At 39.0% G+C, this 18,287-nt stretch overlaps 1 protein-coding gene across 35 annotated transcripts in view; it reads right to left on the bottom strand.

The window, feature by feature from the left end:
* The window catches only part of PRP4K (pre-mRNA processing factor kinase PRP4K), a 43,684-nt gene that overhangs the window by 22,097 nt on the left and 3,300 nt on the right, over positions 1-18,287 (bottom strand). For all 35 annotated transcript variants that reach the window (XR_007059353.1, XR_007059354.1, XR_007059355.1 and 32 more), the window contains exons 2-5: positions 10,132-11,328; positions 5,317-5,490; positions 1,960-2,115; positions 319-400 (exon numbers count right to left, since the gene is read on the bottom strand). Coding sequence is in view for 2 of the 35 variants with exons in the window: in NM_003913.5 (NP_003904.3) it covers positions 319-400; positions 1,960-2,115; positions 5,317-5,490; positions 10,132-11,328 (1,609 nt within the window). In the remaining 33 variants the exon portion in view is untranslated. The remainder of the gene's footprint in view (positions 1-318; positions 401-1,959; positions 2,116-5,316; positions 5,491-10,131; positions 11,329-18,287) is intronic.

Here is an 18,287-nt window from a genome sequence, read left to right as displayed (position 1 = left end):
ATTCCTCCAGTTTATTCTATACTCATACGTGTTCATTAACTTAAAAAGAAAGCAAACTTCAGATTCTCATGTTTTACAGAAGAGGTTTACATCAGAATTCTATGTATAAACAACCAGAATTCTATGTATAACCAACAAAGAGCAACCATCTCAGTTTTAGTAACTAAAAAAAGATCATTTTTTCAAACTTCACAAAGATAATTTTATATATACTATCCTTTTCTAAGGACCTGTTCAACTGTTATTAATGCTACATTTTTGTTAAAGCAAAAAAATCTTTTACTACAATAATGGTTATTTTTCATTAAAATCACATACCTGAACAATTGCCTGCCTTTGGATTCTTCTCTGTTCTATTAGGGCTTCTTCATCTTCTTCCTCTACATCAAAGTCTTCAAGGCTTAAAGAAAAATTCAAACACCCTTAAGAGATTCTAAAACCATACCCCTTATACATTTTAAAGTTAAAGGCAGGAAAATGTAGGTATCAGTAAGTTAGAGCAAAAGTCTTAAGTCCTATTACTTTTGTTTCCAAACCATCTCAGTTAACTGCCTGGTTTGGAATGTGGGGAAGTAACCTAACCTTTGTCTCAGTTTTCTTCTCATCTATTTCATGGCACCAAAATTGGGAATAAAAGAAATAACTCCAGGTTTACAAAAGTTGCCACTAGTTTTTCCATGACCTTAGTAAAGTCACTTTACCTATCTAGCCTTAGTTTTCTCACCTATAAAATGATGGCAAGGGTAAGATAAGTAAATTGCTACCTTTTCTGGATGTCAGAACCGCCTGAAAGCTCAAGAAAGCTATACCCGTACTTCCCTATCAAAAATGCACATGCAAATATTTGCATATAATCTGAAGGGGAATGTGGCTCTACTCCGCAACACTGCCCCCAACCCTCCGCACTAACCCTCAAATACCACCTCCACAATCTTTATGATCCTTCCCAGTGCAACTTTTTCAATGATCTTACCTGCTGAATGTTCGCTGCAGAAGAATAGGCAAACTATACTCTGATTCTATCAGAATCTATGTAGAATGCCCTTCTCCCATCCAACTTTAATCACCTGGTTTTAATCAGGGTTTTTCATCCTTAGCATGATTTGTTTTTTGATATGGATAGTTCTTTTTGTGTGTGTGTGTGGGGGGTTATCCTGTGCATTGTAGAATGCAGTATCCCTGGCCTCTAGCCAACAATCACAAGAAATGTCCTCAGACATGTCCCCAGGGAGGCTAATAACCTCCTGTTGAGAATGGCTCTAGATTTGTCCCATTTATTTTTGAGATATTCCACTTAGACAATCAAGTCTGCATTTTATTTATTTTTGTTTTTTGAGACAGGGTCTCACTCTTTTTGCTCAGGCTGGAGTGCAGTGGTGTGATCAAGCTCACTTCAACCTTCTCCCCCCAGGGTCAAGTGATCCTCCCACCTCAGCCTCCTGACTACAGGCGTGTGCCACCAGGCCTGGCTAATTTTTGTATTTTTTGTAGAGACAGGGAAAAATGTCCCCACAATTGTATTAGACACTTGAAATGTTTCTACATTTTCATGTTGTAAAAAGGACACTCATCACAAAATAGCCTCAATTGCAAAGTATGTATCATCTAACACAAACTCAAAGTTCTAAACTTTTATAGAAAATTCCTCCCAAAATCTAGTAACTCTGGCCGGCAGGACTAATGTATGTATTGTTCATAATAAAAACAAAGGGTAGGCTCACAATAAAATGAAGGCCCAATGTTCACTCCAGCCAAAGCTGAAACACCTACATTCAGAAAACCGCTTACTAACTCTGTGATACAACCTACACAATATTCACAAAAGACTAACTTTTAAATTCAGAGCCAAATTAATGGAGCCACTTATAATATTTAGGTGGATATTATTTAACAATTTCCAAGTCAAATAAGACTTCTCTAAACTGGAAAAACAAAGTTATGGGTAAGTTCTATTCTTACTTATCATCAGACGAAGATTCCTGCTCAACTTTCATTCCTTCAGAAAGACTTCCTTTAAATTTATCTTCCTTTACTTTGCTTCTGCTCCTTCGTCTACGACCACCGCGTGATCGAGACCGCCTTCGCAAGCGTGATCTGCTCCTCCGACCTCTGTCCCTATTTAAAGAAGAAAAGACAGGTATACATTTTTTTAAATGTCAAAGTGGGAAAGGCATGCATGTGTGGGCACAGGGGATATATAGAAATTCTACTTTCTACTCAATTTTGCTGTAAACCTAAAACTCTTCTAAAATATAGTCTATTTTTTAAAAAGGTCGTTTGAAAATTTTAAGTAAAAGAACAGAACATCAGAAAGACTGAGATAACCAGCTTAGCTGAAGATAACTAAAACATACCTACTCCTTATCAAACTCTGAACTAAGAAATTCTTCCCATGGATATGAACTTGAACTTGAATATAAGCTCTATGGGGATAAATACCTACTGTTTCTTTGTATTCGTACAGCACCACGGTTGTATACACAGGCACTGGAGTGAAGGGAGAGACCGAAAAGGGGCAAAAGGGAACTTGGAGTGATGAAAACGTTCTCTAACTTGAGTGTGACTTATGTGTCTGTCAAAATTCACACAACTTTACAACAAAAAGCATTTTACTTTATGTAAGTTATATGCATGTTTCAATGAGCTCAACTTAAAGAAACCTCACTAACATGACAGTAAATGAGTACTTAAAAAAAAAAAAACTGGGGGCTGGGTGCAGTGGTACACACATATAATCTCAGCACTTTGGGAGGCCAAGGCAGGCAGGGAGCTCGGGAGTTTGAGACCAGCCTGGGCAACATGGCAAAACCCTGTCTCCACAAAACATACAAAAAAATTAGCTGGGTGTGGTGGTGCGTGCCTATAGTCCCAGCTACCGGGAGGATTCCTTGAGCCCAGGAGGTTGAGGCTGCAGTGAGTCGTGATCACACTGCACTCCAGCCTGGGTAACAGAGCAAGATCCTACCTCAAGAAAGAAAAGAAAAGAGGAGAAGGGAGAGGGGAGAGGAGAGAGAGAAAAGAGAAAGATCGGAGGGGAAGGGAGGGGTGGGGTGGGGAGGGGAGGAAAACCCTCAGGCAAGGAGAATGTCAAGAGAGATGATAGCAGAGATGAGAATAAAATCTTAGAATGTGCAAATTGGAGTAAAGAATAGTAACAGATCAAATTGAGCTGAATATTGGTCCAACATGAACACACAAGGTAAATCAGAAACAGTCAGAACATGTCACAACACCCCCAGAAAGCCTCAGGAATTGGAGACTCCCTATCCTCTGCAAGATGGTGTGAGGTAAGAGCTGAGGACAGAATTGGTTGAAAGCCTTTATAAACAGCCAGACTCGGTACAGTCCCCTCCCCAACTCAGTGGAAAATGTCAACCACTCCCTTCACATTCTAGCAGAACACTTAAGATTTGCTTTCTAGAGAAGGGTTGGTCACTCCAGATGCTGAGAGGCACATACCAAAGATAGACAGATTATAAGGAAGTTTACATTATGAAGGAAGAGAACTCTACTGGTAGCCAGGTCTATTTCCCAGGAGGAAATGAAAGGATTCCGGAAAACTCATAGCCCAAGAAAATACATCTACAGTCACTAATATCCAAAAATATCTAATTACTCTGAAGTGATAACCACTAGCTGACAAGTCCTACACTGTCACAATAGAAGAAAAATCCCATTCAGCTTTCTCAGTACCTAAATATTAACTCAGAATAGGCAGCAATGAAGGATCCAGCTGTGTGAGAAAAGTCTTCAAATGAAAAGTAAACATGCAGCAAAAGGAATCTGGGAAGAAACACAATATAGCAAAGAAAACTATAAAGAACAAAAATCTCACACAATAACCTCGCTATTGTCTGAGAGACAGAAAATACTATTTCCAGAAAACATGAATAAAATGTTAATACGTGGAACAATATAGAAGGTCCAATTGGAAAAAACAGAAAGAAAGAAAGAAAGAAAAAAAAAAGCACAAAAATTTCCCAGAAGGCCATAAACTCCCTGCTTTAAAGGGCCTATCTAGTAATTAGCAAAATAAATGGGGATAAAGATCTACATACCGAGGCACATAATAAATTTCAGAACACAAGACATTTTTTATAAAAAGGGAAGAGAGAAAAAAGCAAGTCTTGAGATCAGCTTGGAGCAAGAAGACTAGCAGTGTCAGAAGGGAGGTCCTCTCTTCCCTCCTCTCCCAACTATTTGCTCAGCAATGAATACATACAGGATCACAATGATTATACTGACTCTAGAAGAACAAAAAAGTGTGATGAAATTAGGCAAAAGCGAAACATGAGTAAGCGGTAGTATTAAAAACCCTCATTGTGGCTGGGTGCAGTGGGCCAAGACGAGCGGATCATTTGGGGTCAGGAGTTCGAGACCAGCCTGACCAACATAGTGAAACTCCATCTCTATTTAGAAAAATACAAAAAAAAAAAAGCTGGGCATGGTGGCATGGGCACCTCTAGTCCCAGCTACTTGAGAGGCTGAGGCAGAATTGCTTGAACTCAGGAGGTGGAGGTTGCAGTGAGATCGCGCCATTGCACTCCAGCGTGGGCAACAGAGTGAGACTGTCAAAAAATAAAATAAAATAAAATAAAATAAAACCCCTCATTGACCAGAGTGCACTCAGACCATGCATTTCCATTTCTAGGAATACAGCATACAAAAATTCTGAGAGATATGTAAAGATGGCTATAATATAAGCCTTTGTTTCTTAAAAATTATATTCATTTATTACTTCAATTAAAAATGTTAAAAGATTGGCAAACAAATACCCATTTATGTTTTATATTAAAATATTTCATGTATGTATGAATTTTAAAAAATGATTCCCTGCTTTATAAACCACCTTTTTAACCTATTACTGACTACATATGCTTCAGATAAAATGGTTTCTATGGCAAATTAAATAGGCCTTTGCCTAAGTCTACAGTAACTATCAATATGCAAAATTAATATAAAATGTAAGAAACTGGGCTATATATTTACTACTACATGATCTACCTTGCTGGTTAAAAAAAAAAAAAAATCCCTAAGTCTGGCTCATTTAGTATTGATTGATAAAAGAGAGAAAAAAGTCCTATTTTTAAAAGACTAATTTTATTGCATCCTAAATGAGCAATGATTTGTTTAAAATTCAAAGGAAACGATATAAAAGAAAACCCATGTGTAGAGATTGCTGGTAAAAGGAAACTATGGGAACACAACTACGATTTTTCAGAGAAAACTGGTCTAAAAGAAAACCTACCAAGTGAGCTCACTGGTGGTTCAAAAACATTCAGAGTTTAATGAATCACAAGGATGAAATGTCTTTACCTTCTCCGAGGAGATCTGCTTCTTCTTCTTGGAGACCTGCTACGTCTGAGTGGGGAACGAGACCTCCTTCTAATGGGAGATCTACTTCTTCTTCGGGTTGGAGACCATCTATTGATGGGGCTGGCATCTTTTGATCTTTCACGTCTACTGAGGATATCATCTCGAGGTCGTGTTCTTAAGGGGATCAAATGCAAGTTAAAAGAAATATAAATCAAAGTAAATGATTTTTTTCTATATGCAAAGAACATCTGTAAGAAAAGGCACATTAGCCTAAAGAAAGTGAACTTTGATTAATGTGTTTTGTAACAAAACTTACTCAGGTGACTACAGTGATATTTTGGTGTTATTGCAGGCAAACAATGAAAGGTCTTATTTCCTCTGGTCCCACAGTTTGAAAAATTACTAAAGGTTATTCATACCGGTAAAGTCACTGATTCTAATTTCAAATAAACCAACTCAAATAAAACCTCCCCAAGTGAGTATAATACTCCATTTACTCAAATATTCCATTTTCATTGACGACTTTTTCTTTCTACATCCTGACATTTCTCCAATTAAGGATCTTTTTTTTTTTTTTTTTTTTTTGAGACAGGGTCTAACTCTGTCACCCAGGCTGGAGTGCAGTGGCGCAAACACGGGTCACTGCAGCCTTGACCTCCCAGGCTGAGGCAATCCTTCCACTTCAGCCCCCCTGAGCAGCTGGAACCATAAGGGCATGCCACCACACCTGACTAATATTTTGTTTTGTAGTGATGGGGGTCTCACTATGTTGCCCAGGCTGGTCTCGAACTCCTGGCCTCAAGTGGTTCTCCCTTGGCCTCCAAAAGTGCTGAGGTTACAGGTGTGACCCACCATGCCCGGGCAAAAATCTTCTTTTTAATGTCAAGTATAATAGGCCAGGCACAATGGTTTACACTTGCAATCCCAGCACTTTCAGAGGCTGAGGGAGGACCGCCTGAGCCCATGAGGTTGAGGCTGCAGTGGCTGTGTTTGTGCCACTGCAGCCCAAGTGACAGAGTGAGAACTTGTCTCAAAAAAACAAAAACAATAGCTAGGTGTGGTGGCTCACACTTGTAATCCCAGCACTGTGGGAAGCTGAGGCAGATGGATCACTTAAGCTCATGAGTTTGAGACCAGCCTGGGTAACATGGCGAAACCCTATCTCTACAAAAAATATCAAAATTAGCCAAGTGTGGTGGCATGTGCCTATAGTCCCAACTAATAGGGAGGCTCAAGTGGGAGGATTGTGTAAGCCTGGGAGGCAGAGGTTGCAGTGAGCAGAGATCATGCCACTGCACTCCAGCCTGGGTGACAGAGTGTGACCCTGCCTCCAGTCTCCCCAGAAAAACCCCACAAAAACCCAACTTTTCAACACTTATCACACAAGTACCTTTCAGTGAGTTTTACTCTTGTTTAATGTGATATTTGTATTACAACAGGCCTTTCTACAGCTTAATTTTTTAAAACAGGTTTTGAACATTTCTTAATGTTATTCCAGGTTTGGTCACAACTATTCAATCTGAACAGTCAGATTGTAAATAGGTTTGTCTCCATAATCAAATAATATTACAGTATTTTCCTCATTTATTATTATTATTATTTTTTGAGATGGAGTTTTGCTCTTGTTGCACAGGCTGTAGTGCAATGGTGTGACCTCGGCTCACTGCAACCTCTGTCTCCCGGCTTCAAGAGATTCTCCCGCCTCAGCCTTGAGTAGCTGGGATTACAGGCATGAGCAACCACGTCCAGCTAATTTTATATTTTTAGTAGAGACAGGATTTCTCCATGTCGGTCAAGCTAGTCTCGAACTCCTGACCTCAGGTGATCCACCCGTCTCAGCCTCCCCAAAGTGCTGGAACACAGGCGTGAGCCACTGCAACTTGCCTTCCTCATTTAATAAAAACCTAAAAACACAACCTGCCTTGCATGTTTCAGCACGGTATACAGAACCCAAGAATCCTTCTCTGATCCAGCCAAAATGAGCAAGGTAGACTTTGATTCAGATCTGTAGTGCTTACTTCTTGGTAGTGCTTACTTCTTGATAGGGCCATCTGAGGAAACTCTTTTATTTAATCTGCTCACATACACGCACAGCCTCAAAAGACCAGTTAAAAAATATAAATGGGCTGGGTGCGGTGGCTCACGCCTGTAATCCCAACACTTTGGGAGGCCAAGGCAGGCAGATAACCTGAGGTCAAGAGTTCGAGACCAGCCTGGCCAACGTGGGGAAACCTCATCTCTGCTAAAAATATCAAAAAAAAAAAAAAAAAAAAAAAAAAAAAAAAATTAGCCGGGCGTGGTGGCGCACACCTGTAGTCCCAGCTACTCGGGGAAGCTGAGGCAGGAGAATTGCTTGAACCCAGGAGGCAGAGGTTGCAGTGAGCCAAGATCACACCACTGCACTCCAGCCTGGGCGACAGAGCGAGACTCCATCTCAAAAAAACAAAACAAAACAAAACAAAAACAACACACATATATGTGTATATATATGTATATATAAATGGATGGGATAAAGTAAACTAGTATAAAAAGAACAGAGTGTTGTCTGCTAAAATGCAATGAAAATAAACAGTGGCTCAGGCCTGTAATCCCAACACTTTGGGAGGCCGAGGTGGGCGGATCACGAGGTCAGAAGTTCAAGACCAGCCTGGCCAACATGGTGAAACCCTGTCTCTACTAAAAATACAAAAATTAGCTGGGCATGGTGGTGCGTGTCTGTAATCCCAGCTACTTGGGAGGCTGAGGCAGGAGAATCGCTTGAACCCAGGAGGCAGAGGTTGCAGTGAGCCGAGACCACGCCACTGCACTCCAGCCTGGCAACAGAGCAAGACCCCATCTCAAAAAATAAAATAAAATAAAATAAATAAATAAAAATAAAGAAAATAAAAATGTTCACCCTCACTAGTCACCTAAGAAATTTCGATTAAAACAATTTTTGGGTTTTTTGTTCTGTTTTTAAGAGTGACAAAATACTATATGGTATCCTGGTAATAAAGGTTTTCCTAAACTTTCCTAATACAGTTTCAGGAAAAGGGGCAGTTCACATAGTCATAGAAGTAGAAGTAGAAATTGACCTAACTTTCCTGGATGGAAATTTAGCAATAACTTTCTACAATGTAAATGTACATACTCTGAGACTTTGCAAGTCCACTTCTATGAGTCTATTCTATAAAGAAACCTCACATATAACCAAGGCACATCTTCGCATATAATAGTGAAAAACTGGAACCAACCTAAATTTTTCATCAGTTTCAATAGGAGAATGATACTATAATACATCTACACTGAAATACCAGTTGCTGTCAGGCAGAATGAAAAACAATCTATATGTTTTGTCGCAGAAATGTTTCCTGAAAAAAGCAAGCCACATGTGAATATGAATAATATGACTCCAGTTTTGTTAAAAAAAAAAATTCCCTTATATTCATGTTATTGTCTGTACAAGGAAAGACCTAAGATAAAGTAAATTTCTAAGGAGTGGTAGTGGAGAAATGAAAAGGGAGACAATTTACAGGCTTATTTGGATTTCTCTTTAATAAGTAAGTATGCATCACTTCTGTAATTTAAAAAAATATTTTTGTTTCAAATACTCAGCTCTAGTCCTTAATAAACTCCTCAGAATTTGCTCTTCAAACAAAGCAAACTGAAAGACCACCAAGATAATTAAGAAGCACTTGAGATAACAGAATCAGTAAAACTAATCACTGCCTCAATCCAGGAAGCCAAAGGAAAAAGGGGCTATTTCATTACAGTGCCACTCAGAAGTAAAGAATCAAGACGCTCTTAAGACACAGCACTTGGAAATAAAATTTGAAATTTCTCTGAAAATATGATGACTTCACTTTCAGGGTGAGTTTATATTTATACCCATTCACAGAAAATATTATTATGAACACAGTAAACGGCTAGGAATTAATAACATCCTTATATAGTATAAGCCAATACTCTTTTAATAAGCAAAACCTAGCTGGCAATTTCATAATACTTAAATACTAAATACAAAAAAGACATTAAGAAATCTGTTTCTAAAGTAGTTTAAGTGGTATAAACACTCCTCCCCGCAAATACTTCCGTTCTATGATCCTACGTAAATTATATACATTCTCTGATTCTATTTCATTTATAAATTAGGTATGAGAGCCCCTTCACCTCATGAGTTAAGATAATCACATGAGGATTTATAAGAACTAAGACAATATATTATTCAAATAGTACAAAATAATTTCATATACTATTCTTCTTAAGCTTAAGAGATACTACTTTTCAACAATGAGATTATATGTATTAATACAAAATTTTCCATTTTAATTATACTTTGGGGACCAAAAAATATTGGTATTGGTTTCTATTTATACTGTTAAAATTTAAAACTCATGCAAATACAAGAGAATGAACAGAACACAATTGTTAAACTGATTACCTTTCCCCCTTTTCAAAGTTAAGAGTTTCAGCCTACACTGTTCATGAAGTAATAATCCTCTCTCTAAACGCCCCCAATGAAGATTTATCAGCCAAATTACATGGATTGAAAGGAGTGCCTTAGCAAACTAGGTATTAAATCAAGAATGTGAAAAAACCCAATTCTATCATCAAGCTCAGTATTTGTTAAACACCTATACTTAAAATACTCATCGAAAAAAGTGCAAATATTAACATGGTTAATGGATTGGGTTACTTAAAATTATGAAACTCATTACTACTTCATTTATTTTTATTTTTACTTACTACTTCATTTTTAATGGTCCACAAGTTCTAGTTTTCCGTTTAAAATCTCATGCACTGGTAAAAAGCTTTAACATTTTGTACACAAGTTACCTTGGAGAAGAAAGTCGTCTCCTCTCTGGTTCTCGTCGTTTTCTTTCTAAGGATCGGCTCTTGGCTCTTCTCCCAGGAGACAGTGTCCGCGAGGGGGATTTGCTCTGCTTAGATCTTCTATCATTCAAAAGTGGAGACCTGCTTCTTCTTGATTTATCACGTGGTTTTGGAGACAAACTTCTTCTTTTAGGACTACGACCAGGTCTTCTGCTGGGTGACCTATTTTCTTTCCCAGATGAAGCATCTTTAGAGGGAGATTTAATTGGCTTCTTTTCTTTATCAGTTTCAGACCGTTTTGATTTTCTCTCTTTGGACCGTGACCTTCTGTCTTTGGATTTACCTCTTAAATCAACTGGGGATCTGGATTTTTTACCTCGATCGCGACTTCTACTTTCATTTATAATTGGGGATTTTTTCCTATCTTTTGATTTACTTTTATCTTCAATTTTAACCTTATCATCAGTAGGAGATCTGGCCTTACCAATTTTCTCTTGAGATCGCCTTCTAAGGGTAGGGGATTTTGATTTCCTTGCTTGATCTTGAGACTTACTTCTTTTGGATGGGCTTTTAGATTTTTTCCTCTCCTTTGACTTGCTCCTAGTTGTTTTCTCTTTAACGATTTCAATACCCCCCTTACTTTTCTTTTTATCAGACCTATGTCTAGTCCGTTCTTTGGATCTGCTTTTACTTCGTTTCTTTGTAGTAATTTTATTGTCCACAAGTTCAAGTTTCCCCTTTGTACTTGAAGATCTAGTACTAGACCTATTTCCATTTCTTGCCTTTTCATGAATTTCCCCCTCTTCTTCAGAGCCAGACTCATAACCTTGCAAAATGAGCCCCATACCAGACTGGACCTTTCCTTCCATTAACTCATTATCAAGTTCGGCCTTAATCAAGGCTCTCTGTTTTTCCAAGTCTTCTAGCAAAGCTAAATCATCAAGTTTAGTTCTTTTTGCTGGAGACATACCCTCTTTATCAGAAGCATCAATAATCTCTTTTCTTTTGTGTTTCTTATGTTTATGCTTATGTTTATGTTTTTTATCCTTGTCTTCTTCTGAGGAATGTTTATGTTTCTTATGTTTACTTCTGTGTTTATGCTTCTTTTTTTTGTGACGACTGTGCTTATTTTGAGACTGGTCTTCTGATACTTCTCCATTTTCTTCATTTATACTCTTTTCAGAATTAGCATCTTCCATCCTATAAATATATCAAACACATTTTAAAATCATATCATTTATCAAGTATTCAAAGAGCCATAAGAAAATAACAGTAATGAGAAAATACATCTCAATGTAATACATGAAGTCAGTCACTAAAATTTTTTCAGAACAGCTTCAGACATTTTATTTCAAAGAAGGTCTACGGCAAGAACTGAGTTGGATAGTGATACAACTTTATTGTGTTTCTAATGGTTGAACTCACCAAAAGTATTAGAGGAAATCCCTAATGGAGTGAGCTTAAAAAGTACAGGTTAGAGAAAAAGGGAAAAGCAAACCAGGCACAGCAAAACCTCATTAACATTGATTTAGTACAAGAAGCCACTCAGTAACTTAATTTTTAAACCAACATTTCTCACACATTAACAACCAAAGGGCCCGTTTTCTTTTTTAATAAGACCTACTAACTATTAACATACACTGGAAGACTAATCTCCTTCTCCACTTGAAATTCATGAAACTTGGTGTCTCTACAGTAAACCCAGCAGGTCACTTGTTTTGAGCAGATTTCATCTTATACCTTAAAAACAAAGCAAAACAAAACAAAACTCTAGAGCCAATACTGAGCTATACCCAAAATAAGCACTCAATCAATGTGCATTGGTAGCTGATACTGATGATGGTGATAGTATAAACACATCCTCACAAGTTGAATCTTCAAAGTGAACTAAACCGGAAGTTAGGACTCTAGGCTTGTAGTAAGCAATCATACGACATTAGGCTGAACCACATGGAAGGGCCTTTTGTAAGTCAACAAGTCTAATATCAGTAATTTAATACAGTACAGCCCAATATTCATTCAGCAAGTGATTTAATCTCTCTGAATTTCAAATGAGAACTCAGTTTCCCAAAATACATTTACATTAACAGATGCTATGGAAATAAATAAATAAAGTGGGGGATTCTGTGCTTAAATGTTTGGCTTATGCTGAGTTAAAAAGTTTATGATTCTAAATTACGTTGTCGAGCCCTTGGTGTTTAAGAATCCCAAGTTAAATACTGGTTCAAAAGCACTATTTAACTTTCTCTTTAAAAGTTACTCCATAATAAACCATCATCCTAGAATATCAGACCAAAAGTGGCCTTAAATTATCTAGATTCAGGCCATCATACTATTTTTGGAGGAAGCTATGGATTATTTTGTCAGGTCTTCATATTATATACTCCTATACTTTTAGTAAGTTTATCCTTGCAACCTAAGAATTCATCTGTCTACTCACAATCTCTTTAACATTTAAAAAAAACTCACCAACCATGGGTAAGCATTAAGCCACGCGGCAGGAAAACAGATGTACAAGCCAGGCATGGTGGCTCACGTCTGTAATCCCAGCACTTTGGGAGGCCAAGGTGGGCAGATCACCTGAGGTCAGGAGTTCAAGACCAGCCTGACTAACATGGGGAAACCCCCTCTCTACTAAAAATACAAAAATTAGCCAGATGTAGCGGCACATGCCTATAATCCCAGTTACTCGGGAGGCTGAGGCAGGAGAATCTCTTGAACCTGGGAGGCGGAGGCTGCAGTGAGCCAAGATTGCGCCATTGCACTCCAGCCTGGGTGACACAGTGTGACGCAGTCTCAAAACCAAAAAAAAAAAAAAAAGAAAGAAAACAGATTACAAAACCAGTATCTGCCTCCTTCAAAGAAATTAATGTCTGGTGGAAAACTAAGTCACATGACATAACCATAAAATACTGGAGAAGTGCAATGATGAAGACACAAATAGGGGCATTATGGGAACACTGAAGGATCACCTAAACTAATTTCGAGAACGGTCAGGGACACTGTTTTGTAGATCACAGAAAGAAACCAATTTGTTAAGCAGGGATGTTAGGAGGAAAGAAGAAACGTTTACTGAGAAAGGACAGGGATTAAAAAATAAAGGTTGGCCCAGGCACAATGGCTCACATCTGTAATCCCAGCACCATGGAAGGCCAAGGCAGGAGGATCACTTGAACCCAGGAGTTCGAGACAAGCCTGGGCAACAGAGTGAGACCTCATCTTTATTAAAAATAAAAAAATTAGCTAGGTGAGACCTCATCTTTACTAAAAATAAAAAAAATTAGCTATTCAGGAGGCTGAGGTGGAAGGATTACTTGAGCCTGGGAGGTCAAGGCTGCAATGAGCCATGATGGGGCCACTGCACTCCAGCCTGGGTGACAGAGCAAGACCCTGTCTTTAAAAAAAAAAAAAAAAAAAAATTGAGTAACACCGCCCTAGAGAATGAGTAAGGAATTAACAAGAAGGGAAAAAGGGGCATTTCAAATAGAGAAAGAAGGTGACAAAAGGCAGTTATATATAGCAAACTTCAAGTCGATCAGTGTTGTGAAAGACACTGAGGTAAAGATTCCAAGTGGAGCCAGGCATGGTGGTGCACACCTGTAGTCCCAGCTACTCAGGAGGCTGAGGTGGAAGATCACTTGAGCCCAGGAGTTTGCAGCTGCAATGACCTATGATCACACCACTGCACTCCAGCCTGGGCAACAGAGAGAATCCTCCATCTCATTAAAAAAAAAAAAAAAAAAAAAGATTCCAAGTAGACCAATTCCAGGAGATAACAAGATAATATATGGTTCTAGGAGTGGGTAGTTGAGAGAGAATTAAAGGTTCACTGGAGTCACAGAGGCCCAGGAACTGCAAAAGTACGTTGTCTAGCCAGGTCTCATAGTCTTGAATAAACTTGCTGGGAGAAGGGGTGGGGGAGAGAGAATGGCGGTATGACTGAGAAGTTACTAATTAGTTGACAACAATGAGGGGGAGTGAAAAACACATAGCCACTACAGGGTACCATACTCAAAGAACTTTGATTTTTGGATGTCACATTGCCAACTTCCATTTCTGGCAGGAAAAGGTATTTAAGAGATGTGCAGAAGAAGCTACGTCCTCTGGTGAAAGTCAGGTTTTAATTTGGGTTGACTTCTCCCTAATGGAGTATGAGAAGACACATGACAAATACAGTAGTGTTCTCTGGATCATTAATTTTTCTCAAAGACTTGGAAAAAGTGCAGTATCTTGGTATTATAAAAACACCACCAGGCCATGTGCAGTGGTTCACACTTGTAAGCCCACACTTTGGGAGGCTGAAGTGGGAGGATTCCTTGAGCCCAGGAGTTCAAGGCCAGCCTGGGGACCATGGTGAGATCCTATCTCTACAAAAAAATTTAAATTAACTGGGTATGGCAGCATGTGCTTGTAGTCCCAGTTACTCAAAAGGCTGAGGTAGGATCACTTGAACCCAGGAGGGGATCACTTGAGCCCAGGAGTTAAAGGCTGCAGTGAGTCATGATCATGCACTGCACTCCAGCCTGGGCAACAAAGGAAGACCCTATCTCAAACACACACAAAAAACAAAACACCATCATTGTTTTATTATGGAAGGGAAAGAAGTCACATAGATTTCAGTAAAAAGATTCCAAGACATTTCAACTTTGTTCTTTATATAGGCTATATTCTCATCCTTTGTCCCCAGAAATCTCCCATCCCATAATCCAGAAGGTCTTTTTTTTCCTGAACCTTGACTTATAGGGGGAAAAGTCTGAGAAAAATTTAGGCTAATTCAAGTTATGAAGGTAGGAGAGTCTTTAAAGATTGAGAATGATCTTTAGGCGTATAAAATCTAAGTGCCCAAAGTACAAAATTCTAGTCACTAAGCTCAAATTCAAAATTACCTAAAGTTTTGAGTTTTAACTCAAGACTGTCCTCAAGACAAAGGACAGCTGAGTGGTTAAGCAGTCTCTGGAGCCAGACTGCCTGGGTTCAAATTCCAGTTTCATTACTTACTAGTTGTGTGGTCTTGGCAAGTGATCCTCAGGCATTTCATCTACATGACGGAGAAAACAATAGTACCTACCTGAAAAGGTGTTATGAAGTTTACACAGTGAATAGATGTTAAATGCTTATGACAGTGCCTAGCACGGACCAACCCCCACCCCACCCCCCCACCCCTCCGCCAAATAAGCTATTATTATTGTATAGATGCTAGATAAATATATTTATTCACAAAAATCCTGTGGAGCTGAGAGGGCTGCTAATAAGAATGTTATTTTTAGGAACAGCATCAAAGAGCATAGATTCTGGAGTCAAACTACCTGGTTTAAATGCTGCCTCCAACATGACAAAGCTATTGTGCCCTTAGGCAAGTTGCTCTTCTGTGCCTCGGTTTCCTCAACTGTAAAAAATGGGGTAATAGTACTGACAAATCATAGGCTTATGAAAATTAAATGAGTTCATAGTATAAAAGGCTGTCACACTAAGTGTTCAAGAAATGTCTCTCCATTTGAGTTGAGAATTTTGAGTTTCAAGGGACTTGCCTAAGGTCACACATACAACAAACCAGTGAGAAGGCTGTTATTTCAAGTCAGTCAAAAGATCTTCCATTTGATTAAGATGCTTTAAAAGTCAGATTATGTCACTACTCTTTGTGAAATTTTATTGCTTTCTACCTTATTCAGAGCAAAAGGTCCTATACTTACAGCCCCAACATCCCCCACACTCTAAACCTAACACTCTTCTCCCACGGTCACCCTGCTCCAGCCACACCATGTTCCTTGAATAGGCATACTCACATCTCAGGTACGTGGGACCTGTTTCTCCTGCCAGGAATGCTTTCCCCAGATACATGCATTCCTGGCTACCTTGGCCTACCTTGTCTTTGCTAAAACGTCACTTTCTCAAACAAGTTTTCCTGATCAATCCATTTTAAATGCAAAACCACTCCACTGCACACATATTCTCCTTCTGTGCTTAACATTTTTCTCCAAAGCAATTGTTACCACTAATATAATTCTTGTTTGTCTCTCCCTATCATAATGTAAGCACTATATGAGCAGAATTTTCATTTTAGTTCACTGCTCTATCTCTGAGGGCCTAGATTATCTAATCTATAGCAGGTGCTCAGTAAGTATTGTTTGTGTTAATTATATATATAGAATAACATAAGGCCGGGCACGGTGGCTCACACCTGTAAACCCAGCACTTTGGGAGGCCCAAGCAGGCAGATCACTTGAGGTCAGGAGTTTAAGACCAGCCTGGCCAACATGGTGAAACCCTGTCTCTACAAAAATACAAAAAACTAGCCGGGCATAATGGCGGATGCCTGTAATCCCAGCTACTCCGGAGGCTGAGGCAGGAGAAGTGCTTGAACCTGGGAGGCGAAGGCTGCAGTGACCCAAGATTGCGCCATTGCACTCCAGCCTGGGTGGCAGAACAAGACTCTGTCTCCAAAAAAAAAAAAAAAAGGCTGGGCACAGTGGCTCACACCTGTAATCCTAGCACTTTGGGAGGCTGAGGCGGGTGGATCACCTGAGGTCAGAAGTTCAAGACCAGCCTGACCAACATGGAGAAACCCCATCTCTACTAAAAATACAAAAAAATTAGCCGGGCGTGGTGGCACATGCCTGTAATCCCAGCTACTCGGGAGGCTGAGGCAGGAGAACTGCTTGAACCCAGGAGGCGGAGGTTGTGGTGAGCTGAGATCACACCATTGCACTCCAGCCTGTGCAAAAAGAGCAAAACTCTGTCTCAAAAACAAACAAAAAGCATATAAAAGTTGTCTAAAGCTGATTTACACTATCTATTATAGACTCTTAGAACTTGAAAGTTAAGATTTTTGCTTTGCTCAGTTTTATCTCCAGTGCCTCACACAGTGCACACACATAGTAGGCACACACCTATTTTCTGACTGCGTGATATTCAAAATTACTTACATTTCATCAACCCCTCCCAAAGGAAAATCAGTTTTTTGAACCTTATCTTTTCTAATGCTAACAATTTACAAAAATCTTAGGAGTTTCATTAAAAATTGTTAAGAGTCTACCCATAGAGGAATCAACTTCTATCAACAGAAAATCTAGCTCCTAGAGCTTCTGGGAATTAGAAATACATCATGATGACCAGTATCACTGTAGAAGGGTCATTCCCATGAGTGACTAGTTTCCATTGTAAATTAATGAGTATTATCTCAAGAAATAATGAGTAGGTTCCTGCTAAAAATGCTACCAGCTCGGTACAATCAGGTTAACCTTAATTATAGCATTTTCTTATACAGGGGCTAGGCATACAATGGATCTTTACCAGTCTCAACTCATCTCTCAATGCAAATGTCACAAATCACAACTAAAGTCTGACCAGGTCAATCTGGAAAACTTGAAACATTGAGTCAATGGCATAATGTATTACATACAATGGGCCTGTGCTAAAACAGCTAAATTAGCTTTATCATCAACGACTTTCTTCTAAAGCTCAAGAAAAAGGTTTCTTGTTAAGAAACCTAACGGCCCTCTTGGATAGTTTATACTGACAATAAATATAGGCCATATATATTTCATTTATATAAATTTACGCTTTAACATTAACATTTTACAATTTAATATCCCACATTTAGCCAAGTGGATGTGTATACCAACCTGGTCACAACAGGTTTATCACAAAATATTTATTGAGAACCTATTGAATATTGGATAACATTCTTCAGATCACATTATTTGGAAGCAAAGGTGAATGAGAAGTGCAGACAACATGGGGTTGCTTAACAGTATTTATTTGTTTTGTTAAGTTTTACCTTTTAAAAAACCCATGTCTTGAGGCACCCAGCACAATGAATGAAAATCGTGGAACGCCTTTAAAATAACATAGTCACGGTCAGGTGCAGTGGCTTATGACTGTAATCCCAACACTTTTGGGAGGCTGAGACTGGCGGATCACCTGAGGTCAGGAGTTTGAGACCAGCCTGGCCAATATGGTGAAATCCCGTCTCTACTAAAAATACAAAAATTAGCACGGCATGGTGGTGCGTGCCTGTAATCCCAGCTACTCGGGAGACAGAGACAGGAGAATCACTTGAACCTGGGACGCAGAGGTTGCAGTGAGCCAAGATTGCGCTACTGCACTCCAGCCTGGGCAACAGAGACTCGGTCTCAAAAAAATAAAATAGTCACCAATCA

Source organism: Homo sapiens, chromosome 6 (assembly GCF_000001405.40).
Source record: "Homo sapiens chromosome 6, GRCh38.p14 Primary Assembly".
Lineage (NCBI taxonomy): Eukaryota > Metazoa > Chordata > Mammalia > Primates > Hominidae > Homo > Homo sapiens.
Note: the sequence above shows the minus strand (reverse complement) of the source record. Positions and strands in the feature narration are given on the sequence as shown.